General features: G+C 41.5%; 1 protein-coding gene across 6 annotated transcripts in view, besides 4 other annotated features; it reads left to right on the forward strand.

Annotated features, from left to right (window-relative positions):
* Positions 1-24,176, forward strand: part of ARHGAP10 (Rho GTPase activating protein 10) — a 340,689-nt gene that overhangs the window by 134,178 nt on the left and 182,335 nt on the right. For all 6 annotated transcript variants that reach the window (XR_001741324.2, NM_024605.4, XM_005263215.4 and 3 more), the window contains 4 exons: positions 447-551; positions 8,756-8,885; positions 12,967-13,073; positions 15,573-15,667. Coding sequence is in view for 5 of the 6 variants with exons in the window: in NM_024605.4 (NP_078881.3) it covers positions 447-551; positions 8,756-8,885; positions 12,967-13,073; positions 15,573-15,667 (437 nt within the window). In the remaining variant the exon portion in view is untranslated. The remainder of the gene's footprint in view (positions 1-446; positions 552-8,755; positions 8,886-12,966; positions 13,074-15,572; positions 15,668-24,176) is intronic.
* Positions 533-1,210: an enhancer, noted in NCBI's record as "OCT4-NANOG-H3K27ac hESC enhancer chr4:148787949-148788626 (GRCh37/hg19 assembly coordinates)". NCBI's record gives its function as "activates a minimal SCP1, AML or CMV promoter by ChIP-STARR-seq in naive H9 embryonic stem cells {active_cell/tissue: H9 hESC(naive)}" and the evidence as "EXISTENCE:reporter gene assay evidence [ECO:0000049][PMID:30033119]".
* Positions 640-864: a silencer, noted in NCBI's record as "fragment chr4:148788056-148788280 (GRCh37/hg19 assembly coordinates)". NCBI's record gives its function as "represses an EF-1alpha promoter that drives an FKBP-Casp9 reporter gene in an ReSE screen in HepG2 liver carcinoma cells {active_cell/tissue: HepG2}" and the evidence as "EXISTENCE:reporter gene assay evidence [ECO:0000049][PMID:32094911]".
* Positions 663-712: a silencer, noted in NCBI's record as "silent region_15743". NCBI's record gives its function as "represses an Ori minimal core promoter by ATAC-STARR-seq in GM12878 lymphoblastoid cells {active_cell/tissue: GM12878}" and the evidence as "EXISTENCE:reporter gene assay evidence [ECO:0000049][PMID:35858748]".
* Positions 1,211-1,887: an enhancer, noted in NCBI's record as "H3K27ac hESC enhancer chr4:148788627-148789303 (GRCh37/hg19 assembly coordinates)". NCBI's record gives its function as "activates a minimal SCP1, AML or CMV promoter by ChIP-STARR-seq in naive H9 embryonic stem cells {active_cell/tissue: H9 hESC(naive)}" and the evidence as "EXISTENCE:reporter gene assay evidence [ECO:0000049][PMID:30033119]".

Below are 24,176 nucleotides of genomic sequence, written 5' to 3' on the forward strand. Positions count from 1 at the left end.
GTCATGGAATATCTTTGTCAACAAAACACAGGGGTTGCAGTCTGCTGGATGTGGCTGGGGAGAGCCTGGAGCTCTTTGATTCTGTGATTTTACTTTCTTAAAGATTGTGTCAACCTATAGTGATAAGATTTCAATTACAAATATTGGGATTCTCCTGACTAAAGAGGACAAATGGATGACTTAATAATTCAATTTTTCCTGCAGAACATGCCATATAAGCTGTCTAATGGCTGTGATATTTAAGGGAAAAAAGCATCATTTTCTATAAAGACCAATTAATAGATAATATGTACTTGTGTTTACTTGAATATTAGTGACTTCCCTTTAATCAGTTTATTTCAGTGGAATAACAGTGAGATGGCGGGGGGAACACTTGGTTGTTTATATGATTCTTTTTTTCTCCTGAGTTTTTTTGTGCTAATATCTCTTTTCTTCCTGTGTCTTAGATGCTGTCATTTTTTCAGGGGATGTTTACCTTCTATCATCAGGGCCATGAACTTGCCAAAGACTTCAATCACTACAAAATGGAACTACAGATCAACATTCAGAATGTAAGGAAGTGAAAGCTTTCTTTATAAAAAGATGTTTGAAAAGTATTTTTCATTTGTGTGTTGTATGAAAAGCCTTAATTAAATGAAGACAATGCTGATCTGTTTGTACTGAGAAACTGAGGGTATGCTGCCACCTGCTGGTCAACTCTTGGTGTGACCAACTGCTCTACAGTTGGTTGAGGCTTGGGAAATTCTGCCACCTGGCGGCTTTTCCTGCAGTTTCTGGGTCAATTCTAAGGATAAGCTTTGTTATGTTAACTCTAAATCAGCTATGTCTGCTACAGACAAAAGAGCACTCCACTTTAAGGCATTGAATTTATAATGCACTACTTAACTGGGCATCTTGATTTTTGTTCCCAGATAGGCTTATCATTTGAGTAGAATTTCTTCCCTACATTTTATGCATATTTACTAATGCATTGGTGTTTACAGTTGCTATTGGTCTTGAATATTTTCCTTTGGAAAATGTGTGCTTTCTGCCAGGTCTCGGATAAAGAGATTTAGGAGAATGTTATTAAGCAGTACACTATATGTCATTTTGATCAGGTGGTATATGTTTTTCCTCTCAGTGCTAGTTGATCCTGGAAGCGTCCTCACTGACAAGCTGGTCAGGGTATGTTGAGTGTAATTTGAGGTCTCATTAGGAATGTAGTGAGATAGCTTTGTGACAGACTCACAGCACATAGTGAAAGACACACAGGTAGATGGATGGGAAGCTGTGGTTGTTGCCTGCTCTTCATTTCTTTCACAATTAGAAGTTGAGAGTGGGCCGGGCACAGTGGTTCATGCCTGTAATCCCAGCACTTTGGGAGGCCTAGGCGGGCAGATCGCGAGGTCAAGAGATTGAGACCATGCTGGCCAACATGGTGAAACCCTGTCTCCACTAAAAATACAAACATTAGCTGGGTGTGGTGGAGTGCGCCTGTAATCCCAGTTACTCGGGAGGCTGAGGCAGGAGAATTGCTTGAATCCGGGAGGTGGAGGTTGCAGTGATCCGAGACCGTGCCACTGCACTCCAGCCTGGGCGACAGAGTGAGACTCTGTCTCAAAAAAAAAAAAAAAAAAAAAAAGTTGAGAGTGAATACCTTTTGTGTAGATTTTGTTTCTAACTTTTTTTTTTTTTTATGTACAGTTCCTTATACTAAGGAGTGTAGCTGATAAAACCTTATTTTTATAATTTATGTGTCAACTTGTATTTGAGGATTGTTTGGACATTCAGCTGGGCTAATGATAGAGTTCTGGAGTAGATTCTTTTTCTGCTGCTGTGGTCTCACAATTTGTGAAAACAGTTATAAAATATGTGGTATGACTATAATGTGACAAAACTTAAAAATCCAAAATGGGTATGTGTGGATTCATTCTAGTCACCCCAAAATTGTCCCTGCAGGTAGTAGAATATTGAGTCTAATGTTGTTGAGTTTTTTTTGTTTTTTTTTTTGAGACAGGGTGTCACTCTGTCGCTGAGGCTGAAGTGCAGTGGCACAACCACTGCTCACTGCAGCCTCAACCTCCTAGGCTCAAGTACTCCTCCTGCCTCAGCCTCCTGAGTAGCTGGGACTGCAGGTGCATGCCAGCACACCCAGCTAATTTTTTTTCTTTTTGGTAGAGATGGCATCTCATTGTGTTGCCCAGGCTGCTCAAACTTCAGGGTTCAAGTGATCCTCCTTCCTCAGCCTCCCAAGATCCTGGCATTACGGGGGTGAGCCACCATGCCTGGCTGATGTTGAGATTATTCAGAATATTTTTGCAGGCAGCAGAAAACAGTTATGTAAAAAGAACAGTAGATAGTTCACGTAAGTGGTCCCCAACCTTTTTGGCACCGGGGACTGGTTTTAAGGAAGACAATTCTATAGATGCAGTGGGGGTGGGAGAAGGTAGGGGATGGTTTCGTGATGAAACTTTTCCACCTCAGGTCATCAGGCATTAGATTCTCATAAGGACTGCACAATCTAGATCCACGTGCGCAGTTCACAATACGGTTCATGCTCCTATGAGAATCTGATGCCACCGCGGATCTGACAGAAGGTGGACTCAGGCTCACCTGCCGCTCACCTCCTGCCATGTGACCCGGTTCCTAACAGGCCATGGACCGGTACCTGTCGGCAGCCTGGGGGTTGGGGACCCCTGCTTGAGATTATAACTTATGTTTTCCCCTCTGCTTACTGGCTATATAATCTGTGGAAATTCACCTTGTCTGTCTGGACCTCATCTGTTAAGTGCAGGGCTGGCCAGAATGAGAACCTTCAGGCAGGACTGTATATACAACTTCTAGAATCAAGGTAAAATGAAGAAGATAGTGCCCCTTATTTAGAGATAATTAAGAGTTTCAGATCAGAGGCATTTGATCATTAAAGCAAGCAGAAGCTCTTCTGAGCGCAGGGCCCTGTGGACTGCATAGGTGAATGCCCTGAAGCCAGCTCTCTGCCTCAGACTCTGGGGTGAGCTGTGGGGAAACATCAGTCTCTTGGGATGTTGAGTGAAACTCCTTGCACGGCTCGTTTATTTGTGGAAGTGTGTTTATAACACACCTGTTGGGGGGGCGTCTGTTTACCTTATATAAACCAAAAAACTTTCAGAGGCATTAAATATTTAGATGGGAATGAGCAATATTCTGTCTGGAAATCTTATGAGCAAACCTTGAAGCTAAGCTATCATTTGAAATGTTTCACAAAATGACCTGATTGGAATCCTTAATATATTGAGAACTTACACAATTGACAACAGTGATCATTTTCTGTAGAGAAATGGGGAAATGACAGTTTATTGAAAAAAAAAAAGCCTTTTTTGTATTCTCTGTCACTTAAGGATGTGGTCATCAGTAAATCTCCCTACATTCTCAACTTTTTCTCTAAATATTCCTCTCTTGATTTTATTTGGCTGTTTCTTAATAAACACTCTTACAACTCAGAGTTTCTCTCTGCGTCACCTTCAGTATTGAGAACACCTGATCTAGGTGGCGTCTTTGTTCTTCAAAATTTTAGCTTTTAGCTAATTTTTTATCAGAAACACAAGCACTTATGAAAAGCAGGTCACTCATTCTGTATCATCTGCTATACCTCAGTGATGTTGTAATTTGCTCATTTCTTGGCCATTCATCTCATTCCTTGATGTCAGTTTTTTATTATAATAAAGAGAAAATGCTGGGTATATAAAACAACATATTGTTGAAAAAAGTCCCAGTTTGTGTGTGTGTGTGTGTGTGTGTGTGTGTGTGTGTGTGTGTGTGTGTTTCATTTATTTGTTTGTTTGAGAGGGAGTCTCGCCCTGTCACCCAGGCTGGAGTGCAGCGGCCCAATCAATCTCGGCTCACTGCAAGCTCCGCCTCCCGGGTTCATGCCATCCTCCTGCCTGTAGTCCTAGTTCATGCCATCCTTCTGCCTGTAGTCCCACCTGCCACCATGCCCGGCTAATTTTTTTGTATTTTTTGATAGAGACGGCGATTCACCGTGTTAGTCAGGATGGTCTTGATCTCCTGACCTCGTGATCTGCCTGCCTTGGCCTCCCAAAGTGTTGGGATTACAGGCGTGAGCCACCGCGCCCGGCCGCATATATGTATTTTAGGAAACATAATCAAATGTTAACTGCCTCTGCATTATAACATCATAAATATTTTGGTCATCTTTTAAGTATTTAATTTTAGTAAAAAAGCAAAACTTTATAATCAGAAAAAGGTAAAAGGTATTTAAAAGCGAAAACCTATTTTTCCCCATCTGATAATACCTATTGTATTGTAAAAGTGGCTAGACTTTTTTTTTTTTTTTGAGAAATTGAGTCTTCATTTTCTATAATCTAGAGTAATAAATGGAAATCAAGAAAGCAGCAAGATGGCTTTTAGGAAATGGGTTTTCCAGAAGAAATTTGGAAATTGCCTCAAATTTAAAGAATATTTTAAGAAACTAATTTTGCACTTTTGTGATTTCTGTCTCCCGAAGAATGTGGGGAAGAAGAGACTAGAATAGAATTCTTCCTGGAAGGAAATACAGTGTGCAAAATTTTAGGATTTGTAAAGAGTCCCTAGAAGATAACAAGAATGGGTAGGAAGTATTTAAGAATATGGGCAAAATATTTTTGTCGCAATGTTCTAAGGAAAGTAGAATACCAAAACTACAGACTGTGTGTGTGTGTGTGTGTGTGTGTGTGTGTGTGTGTGTGTGTGTGTTTGAGATGGAGTCTTGCTCTGTTGCCCAGGCTGGAGTGCTGTGGCCCAGTCTCGGCTCACTGTAAGCTCCGCCTCCTGGGTTCACGCCATTCTCCTGCCTCAGCCTCCCGAGTAGCTGGGACTACAGGTGCCCGCCACCGTGCCCGGCTAATTTTTGTATTTTTAGTAGAGACGGGGTTTCACCGTGTTAGCCAGGATGGTCTCGATCTCCTGATCTCGTGATCCGCCCACCTCGGCCTCCCAAAGTGCTGGGATTATAGGTGTGAGCCACCACGTCCGGCCGTGTGTGTGTTTTTAAAAGAGATTAGAAATGGCCACATCAAAATATAACAGCAGTTACTTGAGGGGTGGGCTTGTGGTTAGCTTTAGTCTTACTTATCCCTTTTGTTTTTGCCCCCCAAGTAGGACTATTCGTGTCCGTCTCTCTATTTTACAATGATATGGTTTAGTTTCTATAATCAGAAAAAAGTTTTTTAAAGATGTTTTCTCTTTCAATCAGATTTAAAATACTAAAATAATAAGGCTTAATTTAAAGCTAGTTTATTTGGAAATGTTTAATTACTAAAGGATGTAAAGAAAACAAGGCAGCAGTGATCTTTTATTGGAAAGATAGCATTAGACAGTGTCCTACCGTATAGATTATTGTGAGGATTAAAGAACCATGTAAATGCTCAAATGTTACCTATTGTAACGTTTGGGGTCTAACATTATTGTAATTAGAAGATGCCTTCATATGTACTTGGAACTTATAATTGGAAATTGCAAGGTTTTAGCCATTCTATTGATTTTATGCAAAGTTTTCAATTCATAATTTACCTAAAAATGGTACATTTAAAAAATAGTGGCTGGGGATGGTGGCTCACGCCTATAATCCCAGCACTTTGGGACATTGAGGCGGGAGGATCACTTGAGCCCCAGAGTTCAGGACCAGCCTGGGCAATGTAGTGAGACCCTGTCTCCACAAAAAATAGAGAAAAATTAGCTGGAGGTGGTGGCACATGTGAGTAGTCCCTGTACTCGGGAGGCTGAGGTGGGAGGATCATTTGAGCCTGGGAGGTCGAGGCTGCAGTGAACTGGGATTGTGTCACTTTACTCCAGCCTGACCAACAGAGTGAGACTCGGTCAAAAAAAAAAAAAAAAAAAAAGCCTTCCATTCCCAGTGCAGAAAATAAACCTCTGAGGAAGTTGGGTGGTGAGGGAGAGGGGGACCTCATGGAGGCGTCTGCGGCAGGGATGGTGGAGTGGTGATGAGACAGAGGTGGCTGCTGGGGCATTTGGGAGATTGCTTATGCTGAGCAGAGATGTTAAGTGAGCACGTAAGCAGACATGTTGAGAATGAGAACCAGGCTTCTTACTGTCTGGGAAAAAATTCACAAATTTGGAAGGAGAGAGGCTGGAAAGAAACCTGAAGAACTGGAGTAGAATTAGATTTCTTGGTAGGAAGTCATGGGTTTTCAAATATATAGGTAGATAAAGAAGTAGTGATTGTGTGTTTATATAAACACGTGTGCTCTGTGTATACAGTTGACCCTTGAACTATGTTGGGGTTAGCACCCCTGCGCTATTGGATGTCTGCGTGTAACTTTTGACTTCCCCCAAATTTGACTACTAATCGCCTACTGTTGATCAGAAGCCTCACCCATAACAGAAATAGCTGATTACCACACATTTTGTGTGTTCTATGTATGATATACTGTGTTCTTACAATGAAGTAAGCTAGAGAAAAGAAAATGTTATTACAAAAATCATCAGGAAGAGAAAATATACTTTAAGTGGAAGTGGATCATCATAAAGGCCTTCATGTGTGTCTTCATAATGAGTAGGCTGAGGAGGAAGAGTTGCTGTCACAGGAGTTGTAGATGGGGAGGAAAATCCATGTATAAGTAGATCCACAAAGTTCAAGCCTGTGTTAAGGCTCAGCTGTATGTACATCTGCTTCCTAAGGCTGTCTGCTGAGAAGACTTAGAAGTGAGCACACTGTGCCCAGATCTTGTCGCAGGAGTTGTAGATGGGGAGGAAAATCCATGTGTAAGTAGATCCACAAAGTTCAAGCCTGTGTTAAGGCTGAACTGTATGTACATCTATTTCCTAAGGCTGTCTGCTGAGAAGTCCTTAGCTGTGAGCACACTGTGCCCAGATCTTGGTTTCCAAATATTAAATACCCTCCACTAAAAAGAACAAGAGCTCCTTTCCAGGACTGGCGCAGGGAAAGTATAAGATGAGCCTAGGGTACCTTATTGGACCAGAAGGTAAGGAACTGGTTGAAGAATCAAGGGGACCAGTCAAAAGACAGAAGCCAGTTCGAAGGGACCTCCTGCTGCTCAAATCTAGGGCAATTTGAGCATGAACATAAATAATAGCATTATTGGCTTAAATAGAAGTGTGTGTACATGTTCACACCTGTGATAGCATCCATACATGTATGGCATGCACATATATGCATATGTGTATATATATTATACACACATGGGGGGAAATGAGGGTTGATGAGGGTTGGAAGGAATCTCAGCAAAATGACCAAGGAGGGGAATAAAGTCAGGGTGAAATTATTACAAAGATGGGGATAAGGGTGGGGGATGGTGGCTCATGCTTATAATCCCAACAGTGTGGGAGGCTGAAGCGGGTAGATTGCTTGAGCCCAGGAGTTCGAGACCAGCCTGGGCCCCATAATGAGACCCCTGTCTCTACAAAAAAACAAAAAACAAAACACACACACACACACACACACACACACACACACACACACACTCTTGGCCTGGTGTAGTGGTGTGCGCCTGTAGTCCCAGTTCCTCTGGAGGCTGAGGTGAGAGGATGACTTGAGTTCAGGAGGTTGAGGCTGTGATGAGGTATTATCATGCCACTGTACTCCAGCCTGGGAGACAGAGTGAGACCCTGTCTTTAAAAAAAAAAAAAAGGGGGGATAAGAAAACCTGGAGAAATGGAAGGCGAGAGGGAACCTAGCCGTCAACAACTGAGTTCTACTTTCTTTGCGGGCTTACACTTTCTTACAGGACATAAGCTGATATTTCTCGCAGCTCTTAGTTTGTGTTTAAAAAAAAACAACAAACCTCTGCAGACAGGTTTTCCCTTTTACAATCTACATTTATCAGACTCTCCATCCCTTTACAAAAAAGATGTGCCATTCTAACATTTTGCCACGCTTAGGACCCTTGGCAGCCCCTTTTATTGTAGGGAGGAAAGAGGAGAAATTTCAATAATAATTTTCTGTCTCAGTTCCTCCACAGTTTCACATCAGCAGTTTTTTGGTATTAATACAATTATTTTTGAGCCTGGATGAAAGAAGTGTCCAGGAACACGGTGGTGCTGACTCGTCACAATTGCCTTGCTAATTCTGTCACTTCACCTTGTATATATGTTTTCGGTGTAGCCGTTTGACAGATATTGGCACACCAAGTGTCCTGGGTTTCAGAAATGTGATTTGTCTCTTCAGATATCAAAGACATTATTTGTGTAGGTGAGATTTTTTTTCCCCCTTCTGTCTTCAGGGAAGAAATGTCATTTTCAAGTGCAATTGCCATGACCTGGAAAAACTGACACTTGTATTTATTAGTTTGCAAAGAAGAATTAAACTTTTTCAGATTCTGAGTATTTACAGACTGCTAATGTAACAGTAACAAAACAGATTGATTGAGTCAGATTGGTTGTTGCAAAGGAAATTCTTCTCAGGTAGCTATATTAAAACCTAACTTATGTTTTAAACCTAAAATTTAGTAATAGTGTGAGACCTGAAGGCAGGAATTTTTATGTTGAATAGTAAAATTATTAATGGTGTTAGAAAGCCTCCAAAGTAACCTGTAGTAACCTTGGCTTATACTCCTCTGGTAGCTATTTTACTGCTATTTTTTTTTCTTTGCACATGAATCTCAGGAGGCACACTGGAAAGAATGGGGGTATTTTGAGAAATTTATAAAAAAGTTATTTAGAGTTAAAAAATGTAATTACATTTATGCAGAGACTTTAAAATGTTCATGAGAAAACTCATATGAGAACTTAACATTTATGTGTGTTTTTTAATCCATTTCAGACACGGAATCGATTTGAAGGAACAAGGTCAGAAGTGGAAGAGCTCATGAACAAAATCAGACAGAATCCCAAGGACCACAAACGAGCAAGTCAGTTTACAGCCGAAGGCTACCTGTATGTCCAGGAAAAAAGTAAGAGGCCCTCCAGCAGTGGCTGCGTGGCTGCTTAAAAATGCAAATTATTGAAAACTCTGCTATTCTTGCCATTACTGTGACATTTTGGGCAATTATTCCTACCTCTTTCTCTCCCTGCTCCTATCACCTAATGGGTGTATATTTCATGTTTAGGAGAAACACATTCCAGCCCTGGAGAGAGGGGGTACTGTGAGGTTAGGAGTGGCTGTGAGCACCCTGTTCTTCAGACACCCCACTAGCTTCTGTTTTACACTGTGTGCACCCCAGGAACATGCTTGTAAGAGAGTCAGAATTTGGTGTAAGGCTGAAAATGAGCCAGAGTTACGAGGGTATGATGTTTTTTCTCCTTCCCCCTCACCTCTACCCTCATCACCAATGCACACAGGCACACACATTCATTCATACACACGTATACGTCCTCTCCCTCCCATAACCCTGCCTCTCTGTCATCTTAAGGTCAAGAGGGACATATTAGTATTTTTCTTCTTCCTTCATACCATTTTTGTTCCCACCAGTCTGAGATAGCTGGTTCTTACTAAAATCATCAGGAAGATTGCAGATGGTGATAAAAGATATTCCTACGTGGCATCCTAACTTGTAGGCTTTTTAGTCTTTGTTGCTGTCTTAGCAAATATGCAGTGCATAGATTGTTCTCATTTTGAAAATTAAAAGACCTGTATTTCTTTCAGACTTTGAACATTTGGTCTTATTTTAACAGCTAAGTTCTTAACGTTTACTACGTCAACTGTACAACCCAATTGCTAGTTAGCAGAAGGGATGAGAATGTGAAATGGGTCTCTTTACTATTTCCCTCCCTCTCCACCCTTAACTGTGATTAGGGTGTTTTACAGTTTTCACTTCATTTAAGTGTGGCTGATTTACAGGACTTTCAATCCGACCTAAAAATTTAGTGGTAGACATGACTCAGGGAACGGTTACAGGGTATCTGTGCTTTGAATAGAAGTTAATGTTCTATGCAGGCAGCAGGATGGTTGTGCCTTTTCCATTTGCCCTTATTTAATCTGGAATCTCGCAGCCTTCACCTTTTGTGAGCAGTTGTATGATATGGCAGAAGTCTCCATTTTTCTCATACATTATCTTCTTAATCTCAGTTTTTAAAATTGAATTTGAAAGAAATAAATTAAAACTCAAGATAGGGCTGGGCGCGGTGGCTCACACTTGTAATCCCAGCACTCTGGGAGGCCGAGGTGGGCAGATCACGAGGTCAGGAGATCGAGACCATCCTGGCTAATACAGTGAAACCCTGTCTCTACTAAAAAATACAAAAAATCAGCAGGGCGTAGTGGCGGGCACCTGTAGTCCCAGCTACTCGGGAGGCTGAGGCAGGAGAATGGCGTGAACCTGGGAGGCGGAGCTTGCAGTGAGCCAAGATCGCGCCACTGCACTCCAGCCTGGGTGACAAAGCAAGACTCTGTCTCAAAAAAAGGAAAAAAACAAAACAAAACAAAAAACCACCTCGATAGTCTTGAGAATGTTAGAATTATTTGTATTATATGCCCAAGTGAAAATCACAGGAAACTTTAATTTTTAGATTCATCACTGTTGCCTTTGAGAGAAATTGGACTGAAACAACATAACAGTAGTGGTAAAATTCTTTCCTCATTTACTGTATACCCAGCACTGTGCTAAATTCGTATACAACTTGTCTCATTTATCCATAAAACAGCCCTATGAAGTATAAGGTACTATTACTGTTGCCCATTTATAAATGAAAATGGAGGCACTGAGAGGTAAATAATGTTCCCTAGGTCATACAACTACTAAATGCTGGAGTTGTCATTCTGAACCTGGAGTCTGTGTTGGTAATGTCTCCCGTAAATTGCTTGGCGCTTGAACAGGCGTGAAAGAGCATCATTAGTGTGTATGCCCAGAGCTGGTTGAATAGGCCCTGTTGGTTGTCAGAAGGGAATGGTGGCTTAAGTAGTGGAAAGACCTTGATATTTGGGGCCAGAGATTCTGATTTAAGGTTTGGCTTTGTCATTTTCCAGGCATTTGGGCTAAGCTTAAATTTTTTTTGGATTAAATAGACAGTATCATCCTCTCTGGGCAGTTTTTTTTTTCTTAGAGTTAAATAAAATATCTGTGCAATATTTTTTTTGTCAACCATAGAACACAGTACAAATGCTGGTTCTTTAAAACACAAAGCAATGTTTCCCAAATTCAGGTCTTTGGACTGATGATGGTCTGAGATAAAATTGATAGTGGTCTGGTAACCCTTTTCATCTATTACCCCTGTCCCAAATAATGTAATTAGCTTTTCCTAAAGCTAGCTAAAAGCATTCCTTTTACATGAGTTATTTTTCCCCTCCTGGGCTTTTTTGATTTTTAGGTGTAGAAACTTTGTTTGTTTGTACATGAAATTACTGTGATAACAGATGTTAATTGCTTTTTTAAAAGTGTCTTGACTCAGTAAAGTAAGAAATTGTCAACTTCTGCTGGGCCTAACCTTTAATTTGTTATGGTTGGACTTTTATTGGCATGTGAAGTTCCAGATGCTAGAGGTCCCTCTGACATACAGCATTGTCCTGTGAGCCCTGATGGTGGTACTGCTGACTTAGTAAGAGTGGAAAAGGGGTTCAGAGAGTGTTCTGGGGCATACTTGGACAGTCACTCCTATTGAGTCTTAGATTTCTTATTCTTCATACTTTTTTTTTTTTTTTGCTGAGATTACAGGCATGAGCCACGAGGCCCAGCCATTCTCTTGGTTCTTAAGATTTTTTTAGACCTTACTGATTACAGTAATGTTAAGCCAGACAATACCAATGTTATTTTATTTTATTTTTTGACAGTGTTGCTCTGTCACCCAGGCTGGAGGGCAGTGGCACGATCTCATCTCACTGCAACTTCCGCCTCCTGGGTTCAAGCCATTCTTCTGCCGCACCCTCCCCAGTAGCTGGGATTACAGGCACGCACCACCACGCCCAGCTAATTTTTTTTTTTTTGGAGACAGAGCCTCTGTCACCCAGGCTGGAGTGCAGTGGCGCGATCTCAGCTCACTGCAACCTCTGCCTCCTGGGTTCAGCCTATTCACCTGCCTCAGCCTCCCGAGTAGCTGGGACTACAGGCGCGTGCCACCACGCCTGGCTAAATTTTTTGTATTTTAGTAGAGACAGGGTTTCACAACGTTGGCCAGGATGGTCTCCATCTCCTGACTTCGTGATCCACCCGCCTTGGCCTCCCAAAGTGCTAGGATTACAGGCGTGAGCCACTGCGCCTGGCCCATACTTCATTTTTAAAGGCTAGCTTTCAATCATCAGTAAGAGCAGCTGCTTACTAGGATGCTGTTCATGGACTTAAAGCACTAGGTGGATTTTTAGACTAGATGCTTCTTAGCACTATGATTCTATAATTCTATCATTTTGAGAGGCCAGAATTAAATCCCAAACCATCTCATATATGGGATGGAACTTTTGAAACCCTTGTGAGCTCTTAATACCTAGAAACAAACAAAAAATAGAGCTTACAATTAAGAGATTTTCAGATAGGACATAACTGTTGATTTTTCTAGCAAACTATTTAAACAGTATGTCTTTAAATCACTTCTGTCTTGCTAAATCTTAGAGGTTTGTTTCAAAGTATCTCTTATTTTCCTTCTTCCTCTTTTTTTTTTTTTTTTTTTTGAGTCGGAGTCTCGCTCTGTTGCCCAGGCTGGAGCGCAGTGGCGCGATCTCGGCTCACTGCAAGCTCTGCCTCTTGGGTTCACACCATTCTCCTGCCTCAGCCTCCCGAGTAGCTAAGACTATAGGCGCCTGCCACTATGCCTGGCTAATTTTTTTTAGTAGAGATGGAGTTTCACCGTGTTAGCCAGGATGGTCTCGATTTCCTGACCTTGTGATCCACCCGCCTCGACCTCCCAAAGTGCTGGGATTACAGGCGTGAGCCACCGTGCCCGGCCTCCCCTCTTCTTCTTAGAACTAGCAGTATTGCTGATTTGTTTCATTGATTCAGCTGTATTCGTTGCTGCGTTTTAGACATTTCCTCTTTAGTAATGTGTTTATAGCTCTGCAAATCTGCTTATTTATGAGGGAAAATATAAAGGGCTGTTTTTTTGTTGAAGGGCCTGCTCCGTTTGGTTCCAGTTGGGTCAAACACTATTGCATGTATCGAAAAGCAGCAAAGAAGTTCAACATGATCCCATTTGAGCACAGATCTGGAGGGAAACTTGTAAGTATTTGATTCAACATAGAATAGATTATAATCTGTCAGAGGTAGTGTTTGAGGGTGTCATTTTAATGGTTTATATTTTAATGGTTTATATTCATGGATGGTAAATAAATTGTTAGTATTAAAATCTTTGTTTTGTTTTTGAGTGAAATGGGCCAGAAGACAGAACAATATATATGTTTTCTGAATTACATGCATGGGTTTTAAACCACTAGATTTTTTTTTTTTTAAGTTCTGGGATACATGTGCACAACGTGCAGGTTTGTTACATAGGTATGCATGTGTCATGGTGATTTGCTGCACCCATCAACCCATCATCTACATTAGATATTTCTCCTAATGCTATCCCTCCCCTAGCCCCCAGCCCCCTCACAGACCCCAGTGTGTGATGTTCCCCTCCCTGTGTCCATGTGTTCTCATTGTCAGCTCCCACTTAAGAGTGAGAATATGTGGTTTTAACCACTAGATATTTTTTAGGTGAACAATAGAATCCTTTTTATGCCACTGTTTGGAAGATAAAGGTAACACTGACAGCAAGCTTTCATGACTCAGTGGTTCCTCAGCATTTATACAATGGAACTGACTTGCTGTTCATAGCCTGAAAACAAAGAAGAGTGATCTACGATAAATTTTACTGTTGTTCTGTTCATCTTACAAAGTTCTCACATAGGTATTCACCATTTAGTTAACTGTTCCCCCTGAAACTAAAACAGCAAAGCATGATAGTAAGAAAAGAGCAAGAAGACCTCACAGAGTTGGCTGTGTAGGAAAGGTGATCTTTATATGTATTTTAAATGGAATCTGCAGCTTATTACAATAATTAATGGCCTAGAGACAAAGCTTCCCACCAATGTTGAACATAATTGATAACACATTTTAAGAAAGCAGCTTAATTCATTGCTTACTGGGTGAATGGGTATGGTTTTGCTTAGGTGAATAAAAAAAGAAAAACCTATGTTCACTTCTATTTACTTGTACTATGCCTTTCCCTGAAAAATATTTAAAGCAGCTTTTAATAAAAACACATTTATATAATAATGAAACAGACATGGAAAATTAGTCATGGTGAGGAGAAGGAAGTGAGGAGATGGCTCTTGAAGCATCAGGTTTGAGACTGAGTTTCCTGTCAGAGCCAGTTCAAGTCCTAAGATATTTCTGCTTAGTGATATCTTTCTGTTTTAGCCTCCAAATAATAATGATAAATATGTTATGGAATATAACTGTGAGATTTTGAATATTTGTGTATCTTAATGTTTGTTACTTAGAGATCTTCACGTTCTGGAAAATGTTAAAATGTTCAATAAGTGTGTACTCACACTTTATATAGTTGTTCTTTTACTGAGCACTTGTATTTCTGCATTGCAAATTAAGTAAAGATAAATTCAGGGTGATTCACATAGGGAAGAGAGAAATTGCATAGATTAAATGGTTCTAGCTTTAGATTATGAAAATATTTAATCTAGGGTTATCGGTGTACTTTTAGGCTGACGTGTATGGAATTGCAATTTTTATAGGCCAAAAATAGTCACATATTTTTTGTGACATGTGGTAAGAAATAAATTTTTACACTAAAAAAAAGAGTACAATAAGAGACTAACAGTATTCCAGTATCTTAAAACTGTACTGTTAATCTACCTTTGAAAATTAACATTTGGCCAGGGACACTGGCTCACGCCTGTAATCCCAGCACTTTGGGAGGCCGAGGTGGGCAGATCACTTGAGGTCAGGAGTTTGAGACTGGCCTGGCCAACATGGTGAAATCCTGTCTCTACTAAAAATACAAAAATTAGCCAGTCATGGTGATGCACACCTGTAATCCCAGCTATTTGGGTGGCTGAGTCACAGAGTTGCTTGAACCCAGGATTCGGAGTTTGCAGTGAGCTGAGATTGCACCACTGCACTCCAGCCTGGGCAACAGAGCAAGACTGTCAAAAAAAAAAAAAAGTAACATTGGTATTGTCTGGCATAACATTACCATCATCAGTAAGGTCTAGAAAATCTTAAGAATCAAGAGAATGGCTGGGCGCGGTGGCTCACGCCTGTAATCCCAGCACTTTGGGAGGCTGAGGCGGGTGGATCATCTGAGGTCAGGAGATTGACACCAGCCTGGCCAACATGGTGAAACCCTGTTTCTACTGAAAATACAAAAATCATCCAGGTGTGGTGGTGCATGCCTGTAATCCCAGCTACTCTGGAGGCTGAGGCAGGAGAATCACTTGAACCTGGGAGATGGAGGTTGCAGTGAGCCAAGATCCTGCCACTGCACTCCAGCCTGGGTGAAAGAGCGAGGCTCCCTTCTCAAAAGAATCAGGAGAATGACAAAAATATTAATATTTTAGATTCTAAATAGCATTTAAATAAGCCAGTTTGAAAGAGGATAGGGTAAAGAGAAGGACTTAAGATCTTGAACCTTGCTCCCCTGCTCTCCAGTATAGAATGGCTGAGTGTGTATATACTTATCCTGTAGGTTTTGAGAATGTTCAAAATGATTATTTGCAGGGGGACGGAGAGGTGTTCTTTTTGAAAGAATGTACCAAGAGGCATACTGACTCCATTGACAGAAGGTTTTGTTTTGACATAGAAGCTGCTGATCGGTAAGTTATTGGAATTATTGGACATGGTGAAAGAGTCGTTTTAAAAAAATGATTTAAAAAAATAGAGGTTAGTTGCAACTGTGATTTCTGTGGCCTGGGAGAATGTTATCTTGCTATATTTCCAGGCTGTGTGTTCATTATAAGCTGTTTAGTCTTGATCACCGGGTTTAGCTATGGGGTGATAGTTTCATCTTGATTTAGTTAGGAGTCATTCTAACCAGGGTTGTCACTTAAAAAATAACCTTGGAGGCCAGGTGCAGTGGCTCACACCTGTAATCCCAGCACTTTGGGAGGCCGAGGTGGGCAGATTATGAGGTCAGGAGTTCAAGACCATCCAGGCCAAAATGGTGAAACTCTGTCTCTACTAAAAAGACAAAAAAATTAGCCAGGCGTGGTGGCATACACCTGTAGTCCCAGCTACATGGGAGGCTGAGGCAGGAGAACCATTTGAACCCAGGAGGCGGAGGCTGCAGTGAGCCAAGATGGTGCCACTGCACTCCAGCCTGGGCGACAGAGTGAGACTCCGTTTCAAAAAAAAAAAAAATTGCCTTGGAGCTTTTCATTGTTGATCCAAGCCTAATTTGTAGCATGAAGAGAACAATGGCGAGAGGAACTGGGTGACAAAGCTAAAAAGGGGTGATAGGTAGCTAGCTACTAATACAGAACAACATTCATTTGTGTGTGGGGGGGTTTTCAGTGTCTACATCCTGTACGTGATGGAGGGTCTTAGGCAAACTCCTTCTGTTTATTCAAAGGTGAATTCTTTTTTTTCCTTATTGCATGACTTCCAGTTATTTAGTTGTAAAAGAATCTTTGCCAGAGAGGAAGAAGTAGAAGAGAAAATTTTGTTCATCAGTATTACTACTTGTCTGGCATTAATTTCTATGTCCTCCAGTAGCATTAAGGAAAATCCTAGTGTTCATAGAATATTTGCTTTTTAATGGCTGACAGTACAGTGATTCCTTGCCAGCCCTGGTTTTGGCAGTGATAGTTTTTAGGTAAGGCTGTTCTATGTTTGTATAATAAAAGCTTATGAGATTTGTTAAAGCAAAAGTTCAGGTCAGAACCCAGGAATACAAAAGTAATTAATGCTGCTTCCTCTCTTAGATGATATAGTTGAGTCTCTGGGAGTAGTGCAGAGAGGAAGGATTAGTGGTTCACTTTGTAATAAATGAATTGAAGACCATTTATTGTACATAAAAACAGGCCCTTAAGCACCATGATAAGTTTGGCACTACTGTGAAAAGGACAAGTGGTTAAATAAGCGTTTTGCCAAGATAGGAAAAATATGAAAGAGAATGTCAGTGAAAAAGAGGTTGGGTCTTGCTATGTTGCCCAAGCTGGTCTCAAAACTCCTGGACTCAAGCAATCCTCCCACCTTGGCCTCCCAAAGTCATAGGACTACAGGTGTGAGCCACCATGCCTGGCCTAAATTTCAAGCCAGTAAGAACTCTTCCAAACTTTAAGAAGGGAATTAGTCAGTGTAACACAAGTCGAGCATACATCTGTGCGCACACACCCATGGGTGGCATTGGATTCCTTTCTGAGTGCCACTGTTCTAAATGCTTCTGTGTTTTATCTCAGCTAATTCCTTGCCATAGCTCTCTCAGGTAGTTGTTACTGTTTCCATTTTATGATGAGAAACTGAGGCACAGAGCATTTGAGCAATTTCCCCAAGGTCACGTAGCTAGTGGGTAGTTGAAGAGCTGAGATTTGAGCCCCTGCATTCTCCTCCTAGAGCCCCACATCTTACCTTTTTCTTTTTTCTTTCTTTTTTTTTGAGACGAGTCTCACTTTTTTTGCCCAGGCTGGAGTGCAGTGGTGTAATCTCGGCTCACTGCAACCTCTGCCTCCCGGGCTCAAGTGATTCTTCTGCCTCAGCCTCCTGAGTAGCTGGGATTATGGGGGCACACTACCAGACCCGGCTAATTTTTGTATTTTCAGTACAGACAGGGTTTTGCTATGTTGGCCAGGCTGGTCTTGAACTCCTGACCTCAAGGGATCCACCTGCCTTGGCCTCCCAAAGTGCTGGGATTACAGGCAAGAGCCACTGTGCCTAGCTTGAGCCCTACCTCTTAACCACTGTGCCATAAGTCTCTGCAGATTACCATATAATCAGAATGTTTTCTAAATAATTGACAAAGATGAGCTAGCAGTCTACTAGAGAATATGTTAAGTGAGGTGAATCTGATTAGTTGTGAAAGCAGGGTACTTCTATAATGCAATTTAATCATTTTAATCATCCAGAGTCTCTGGTTTTCTCTGAGACCTTGATCATGCCCAATTTTCTTTTCTTTTTTTGTCAGCCATGATCCTAGCTATGATTGGAACCACTCTCCACCCCTCAAAGACATTGATGAGGGATTCCTATGGAGGTGCTTACACATACGAAGGATAATACCTGTAGGGAGACTCTTGGAACAGGGGAGGACTTTAGGTCAGGGATCTATTCTAGTGGTTTTCAAGTACTTTATAGGGAGACTCTCTTTTCAAATAAAATTTCATGTTAATGTGTATATAAAGCAAAAAAAGTGGGTTCCCTTATTAAAGAGGCATAGGGGCCTGGATTCCTCCCCACCTTTTAGCTTCCGTCTTTTTTCTTGCAAAAGTCTCTAATTTACTTCCATTGAGGCTCACAGCTCCTTTCTGGGAACTCCTGGCAGGGGGACCTAATCTAGTTTAGGTGGCTAAATAAAGGCACACAGAGGATCTGACATCTAAATTCATAAACTAAAGGGTTATCTGGAGTCAGCTGGGATTGAGAGTCATGTGCCAGGTAGAGTGAGTGTCACATGTGGAGGCCTGGAGACAGGAGAGAGCATGATGTATTTGAGACACCTAGCGTCACTAGTGCAAGAGCCAGAGAGAGTGGGAGAAGAGGCTTGAGATGGGGCAACGGCCTGAACTTGAAGTTTTTGAACTTAATCCATTAAATAGTTTTAAGCAGGGCAGTGAGTGACAATTATATTTGTATTTCTCAAAGCTCATTCTGGCAGAGTAAGAAAGATTTGGAGGTAGCAAGAGGGGACAAGAGGAAGTAGTTTAAGGACAGGGTGAGAGGGCCAGGATTGGTGTGGTGGCAGTGGGGGTGGAGCCAAGTGGGGTAGATTTCTGGGGATAAACTGGATGTTGCAGTAGAGGGTGAAGGAGTGGGGAAGGTTTCTGGCTTGAGTAGCTAGATGGTACCATTCACTAAGGTGGGAAACAAAGTGGGGGCATAAGGATGGGGGAAGACAGTAAAATTAGTTTGGGTCATTGTATTAGTTCATTTTCATACTGCTATGAAGAAATACCCAAGACTGGGTAATTTATAAAGAAAAAGAGGTTTAATGGACTCACAGTTCCATATGGTTGGGGAGGCCTCATAATCATGGCAGAAGGTGAAAGAGGAGCAAAGGCACATCTTACATGGCAGCAGGCAAGAGAACGTGTGCAGGGAACTGCCCTTTATAAAAACTATCAGATCTTGTGAGACTTATTCACTGTCATGAGAATAGCATGGGAAAAACCCATTCCCATGATTCAGTTACCTCCCACCAGGTCCCTCCCACAACATATGGGGATTATGGGAGCTACAATTCAAGTTGAGACTTGGGTGGGGACACAGCCAAACCATATCAGTCATGTTGAGTTAGATTGCTGTGGGTCATTATGAAGAGAAACCTGGGAAGAAATTGGGTACAGAGCTTGGCGGCTATGGCAGCATTTGATTTGTTATTCACGTTTGACCTCCTGAAACTCTCTATCCTTTTACTTCCATGACAGTTAACCATTCTGGTTCTCCCTCAGATCTCTTGGTCCTCTCCAGTTCAGCTGTTGCTCCTTTAAATGTTGCCATTTCCTATAGTTGTTTTTCTGTATCCATCCATTCTCATGGTTTCACACTTGAAAGTATATCTCTTGTAATATGTAGTTTCCTTACCCTTTTCTGTGTTTTGAACTGCTTCTAGAATGTTTAGCTCCCTAATCCTAAAATCCGAGATCTATAATGCTTCCAAATGCAAAAATTTTTTAGCACTGGCATAATGCCACAAGTGGAGAATTCCATACCTGACCTCATGTGATGGGTTGTAGTCAGAACTTCATTTCATGCACAAAATTATTAAAAATGTACAAAGTTACCTACAGGCTACAGGTATAAGGGGTATATGAAACGTACATGAATTTCTTGTTGAGATTTGGTTTCCATTCCCAAGATACCTCATTTCGTATGTGCAAATATTCTAAAATCCAAAAAAAATTGAAATCCAGAACCCTTCTCATTGCAAGCATTTTGGATAAAGGATACTCAACCGGTGCATTGCCAATTCTGCTCTTTTTACAAGTCTTGGTAATTTCAGTATGGCTTCAGATGATGCTTTCAGCACTTGGCTTCTTGACTTGTTAAGTTCCTCTCCTTCAGTGACCTTGTTCTTTACCGTACCTCAGCCATTCTCTCCGGTGTTCATTCCTTAGACTTTGTCATTGCAAGGAACTGCAGTCCTCCGCAATCCTGATTGCAAGACTTTCTCTTTCTACCACCTTCTTTCCTAATAAGTACCCTTAGATTCCCCAGTTAAGCCCTACAGTCTGTTGTTCGTCGTGCACTCACTTTCTTCCTTAACTAGTTGAAATTTCATAGTCACTCATCACAGTCCCTTTTTAATACCCTTCACTCCACTGCTTCTTTCCTTCTTTATTTTGCTTGTTTGCACAATCCCAACTTAAGATTCAGTTCTGCCTTCTCTCTTTCTAGAGAAGCAATTTCTACTGTATTCATGGGATCACTTCAAATACATGACCACTGTCCAACAATAGGCGGCCATTCATGGTAGCCACTGATCATACTGTGTTTTCTTTTTCTTTTTCTTTTCTTTGAGATAGAGTCTCGCTCTGTCACCCAGGCTGGAGGGCAGTGGCACCATCTCTGCTCACCGCAACCTCCGCCTCCTGGGTTCAAGCAATTCTTATGCCTTAGCCTCCTGAGTAGCTGGGACTACAAGTGTGTGCCACTATACCTGACTAATTTTTGTATTTTTAGTAGACGGAGTTTCAGTTTCACCTTGAACTCCTGAACTCAAGAGATCCACCTGCCTCGGCCTCCCAAAGTGCTGGGATTACAGGCGCGAGTCACCCTGCCCGGCCCATGCTATGTTTCCTTAGTTGCTGTATACTCCCAGTTGAATATTTTATATTTTCCTCTCTCTCTTAAGCTCTGACACTGCCTTCCTTTCCTGATGACTTTGTGTCCTATTTTGTTGTGAAAATAGAAGCTGTAACAAGAGCTGTTTCCCGCTCTAGACACCCACCTCCACCCTCAGTGCCCAGACACCCTGCCTTTCCTCCCTGCCTGTGGGAGCTGCCTGTGTTCCTGATGGAGGCCAACTCCTCTGTTCAGGTGTTTCCATTTCCTCTTCCCATCTTCTCTCCACTGCTCCAGGATATTACTCAAGCAACTCTACTTTTTCTTTCTTGTTAACATTAGTTTTGGCTCCCGGCAGCAAGTGAAATGCTCTTATTTCATTCATCTTAAAAAAACAAAAGCCACTACAGCCACCATCACCAATGAAACCACCCTTCCCTTTCATTTACTGCCCATTTTTTAACTCCTATAAACATAACAATTCTTCAAAAAGCTATCATATTTATGGTCTCACATTTCTTTCCTGGCCAGGTGCGGTGGCTCATGCCTGTAATCCCAGCACTTTGGGAAGCCGAGGTGGGTGGATCACCTGAGGTCAGGAGTGCAAGAGCAGCCTGACCGATATGGTTAAACCCCATCTCTACTAAAAATACAAAAATTAGCCGGGTGTGGTGGCGGGCGCTTGTAGTCCCAGCTACTCAGGAGGCTGAGACAGGAGAATTTTTTGAACCTGGGAGGCGGAGGTTGCAGTGAGCTGAGATGGCACCACCGCACTCCAGCCTGGGCGACAGAGCGAGACTCCATCTCAAAAAAAAAAAAAATTTTTTTTTTCCTATTTCTTCCCTCTTCTCTTTTGAGCTGTCTACTGAGGCCTTTGCCCTTTCTCTCCACTGCAGTTTTTGTTGAAGCCATCAGTGGTCTCCCTGTTGCTGTGCCTGGTGGTCGATTCCCAGTGCTCATGGTCTTTCCCTCGCAGCATCCCTGACATTGCCCATCACTCTCTCCTCCATCATACACTTGCTTCAAGGACATCACACTCCCTCTCGCATCACTGGCTTCTTCACTTTTTGTACTTCTTTGCCAGTTCTTCATTTCCCAGACCCCTGGATGTTGGAGTTCAGCCCTTAGATGTTTTCGCTCTTCACTCACACTTTTTTATGACCTTGTCCAGTCTTACGACTTTATGTGCCATCCGTATGTTGATAACTTGCAAATTTATTATCTCTACCTGGATCTTGTCCCTGACCTCCAGCTTCTTATATCCAGCTGCCTACTCAGTATTGCTTCTGGGGTGTCTAAAAGGCATTTCAAACAGTGTCGATGTGGTGAATGGTGATTGTTTTTTGAAAGTTTTCCAATAAGTCTTGGGAGTGGGAGTGGGGGTAGTTACATTCCTCTAACATGTTATATAGGTAAATGAATTCATTCCTACCATATAAATACTAATATGTAAATCTTTATTTTTTCTTAAAAGTCATACATGCTTATTTTAAGTCCAAAATTTTCTAAAGCTCCTTGGTTAACTTGGAAAATAATTTTTTTGTTGTGTTCATATCCTTTAGTCTAAAAGATGAAGCTGCTTTTTAAAAACAATTACAGACCCCCCGCCCTTTAATGGTTTATTTCCTCATTTCTAAACAGAGAAACATCTATTCTGGTTTGCTGTTACCAGTAGATACTGTTTGGGGTTCCTTAATTTCCTGCCATTTTCCACCGTCTGTGTCTTACAGTTAGTCTCATGTGGAGCAAAATCTGCTGGCAGAAGGTGAATGTACTTTGAGATCTGTGATTTTGGGGCTTCGAAAGCATTATTTAGTGAAAAGTGTGAATGAGATAGGCTCTTCTCTTGTCTACTCTCCTGATTCCTAGGTAGAATCAGGAATCAGGGAATTATAAGAAATTTGTTCCTTGTCTATTAGATTATGAATTCCATGAGGGTAGGAACACTGTCTTACTTAGTGTTACTTGGTATCACAATACCACATGTAATGCTTTATACATGGTGGACATTTAACAGATTTGTACTGGATTAAACGAAATTGAATTGTTGCTCAAAAGTGACTGAACTGTGATTAGATTCAATCAAGCAACTGTCAGTCAACTATCCTTTTCTTCTGCACCACACCGCTATACTGTGAGCTCTAGTGTCTTCATTCTGCTTCAAGAAAAATAAACCTAACTTGTTGTGGAGTTTGTGGGTATTATAAATGGATTTCTGATGCAGTTTGTACAAGGTTCGTATTGGGTACCTTCTTTTTTTTTGAGATGGAGTTTTGCTCCTGTCACCCAGTGTGCAGTGCAATGGCACGATCTCGGTTCACTGCAACCTCTGCCTCCCAGGTTTGAGTGATTCTTCTGCCTCAGCCTCCCAGGTAGCTGGGATTACAGGCATACACCGCCACGCCCGGCTAATTTTTGTATTTTTGTTAGAGATGGGGTTTCACCATATTGGCCAGGCTGGTCTTGAACTCCTGACCTCAGGTGATCTGCCTGCCTCTGCCTCCCAAAGTGCTGGGATTACAGGCATGAACCACCACACCTGGCCCTCATATTGGATACCTTCTTATAGCAATTTCTCAGTTGATTGTATATGTCTAATGTAAACATACTTTGTCTTCTTTACAAGTATCTGTTTTTGCTATTTTTTTTTTATTTCCTGTGTTGGGAGGGCAGCTGGGTAGCATTTTGAAGTAGATGATATTTAATAAACTGCACAGTGGAGGCTGGGCTTGCATTTGATCTGTGTAGATATAAATCAAGAGCTTTTACTTATTTGTGGCGTTATTTTAGATCAGATTTGGTTGCATGTAACAGAAAAAGTCAAAACAAAATGGCTTAAACGGGGTTAAAGTTTATTTTTTTCTCTTGTTTGGGAAGCCCAGAGGTTGCCAGATCACAGCTGATATAATCCTGCTCTCTCGAGCATAGTTTACTTTTATCAGTCACCTGAGGCACGAGACAGCATATAGCACTGTTCCATTTATCACATAGCACTGTCTGTGGTTGTAGGGACATTTTCCAGTGGTTGCATAGACTACTTTTGCTCACAGACCATTGGCTGGAATGGAGTTATGTGGTTATACCTAGTTGCAAGGGAGGCTTCTAAATCCTAAGGTTGGGAAATTGCTGTCTTTTGTTTTCAGAGGTCCATGAGTTGTTTTAGTACTTTACTATTACTGAGAACCAATGGGAGAATGGCTAATGGAGGGTGGGGCGGAGCTCAGCTAGCCATTACTACTTTGATTATCAATGGTTAGATGGATGTGTGCTTCATTTTTTTCTCCCTCAATTTACCAAAGGGTTACTTTGAATTTTTCTTAGCTAAGAGACACCATTTAAGACCACAGATTTGAAAATAATGTCTGATAAGGGACTTGTTTCTAGAAT

This window comes from Homo sapiens, chromosome 4 (genome assembly GCF_000001405.40).
Source record: "Homo sapiens chromosome 4, GRCh38.p14 Primary Assembly".
Lineage (NCBI taxonomy): Eukaryota > Metazoa > Chordata > Mammalia > Primates > Hominidae > Homo > Homo sapiens.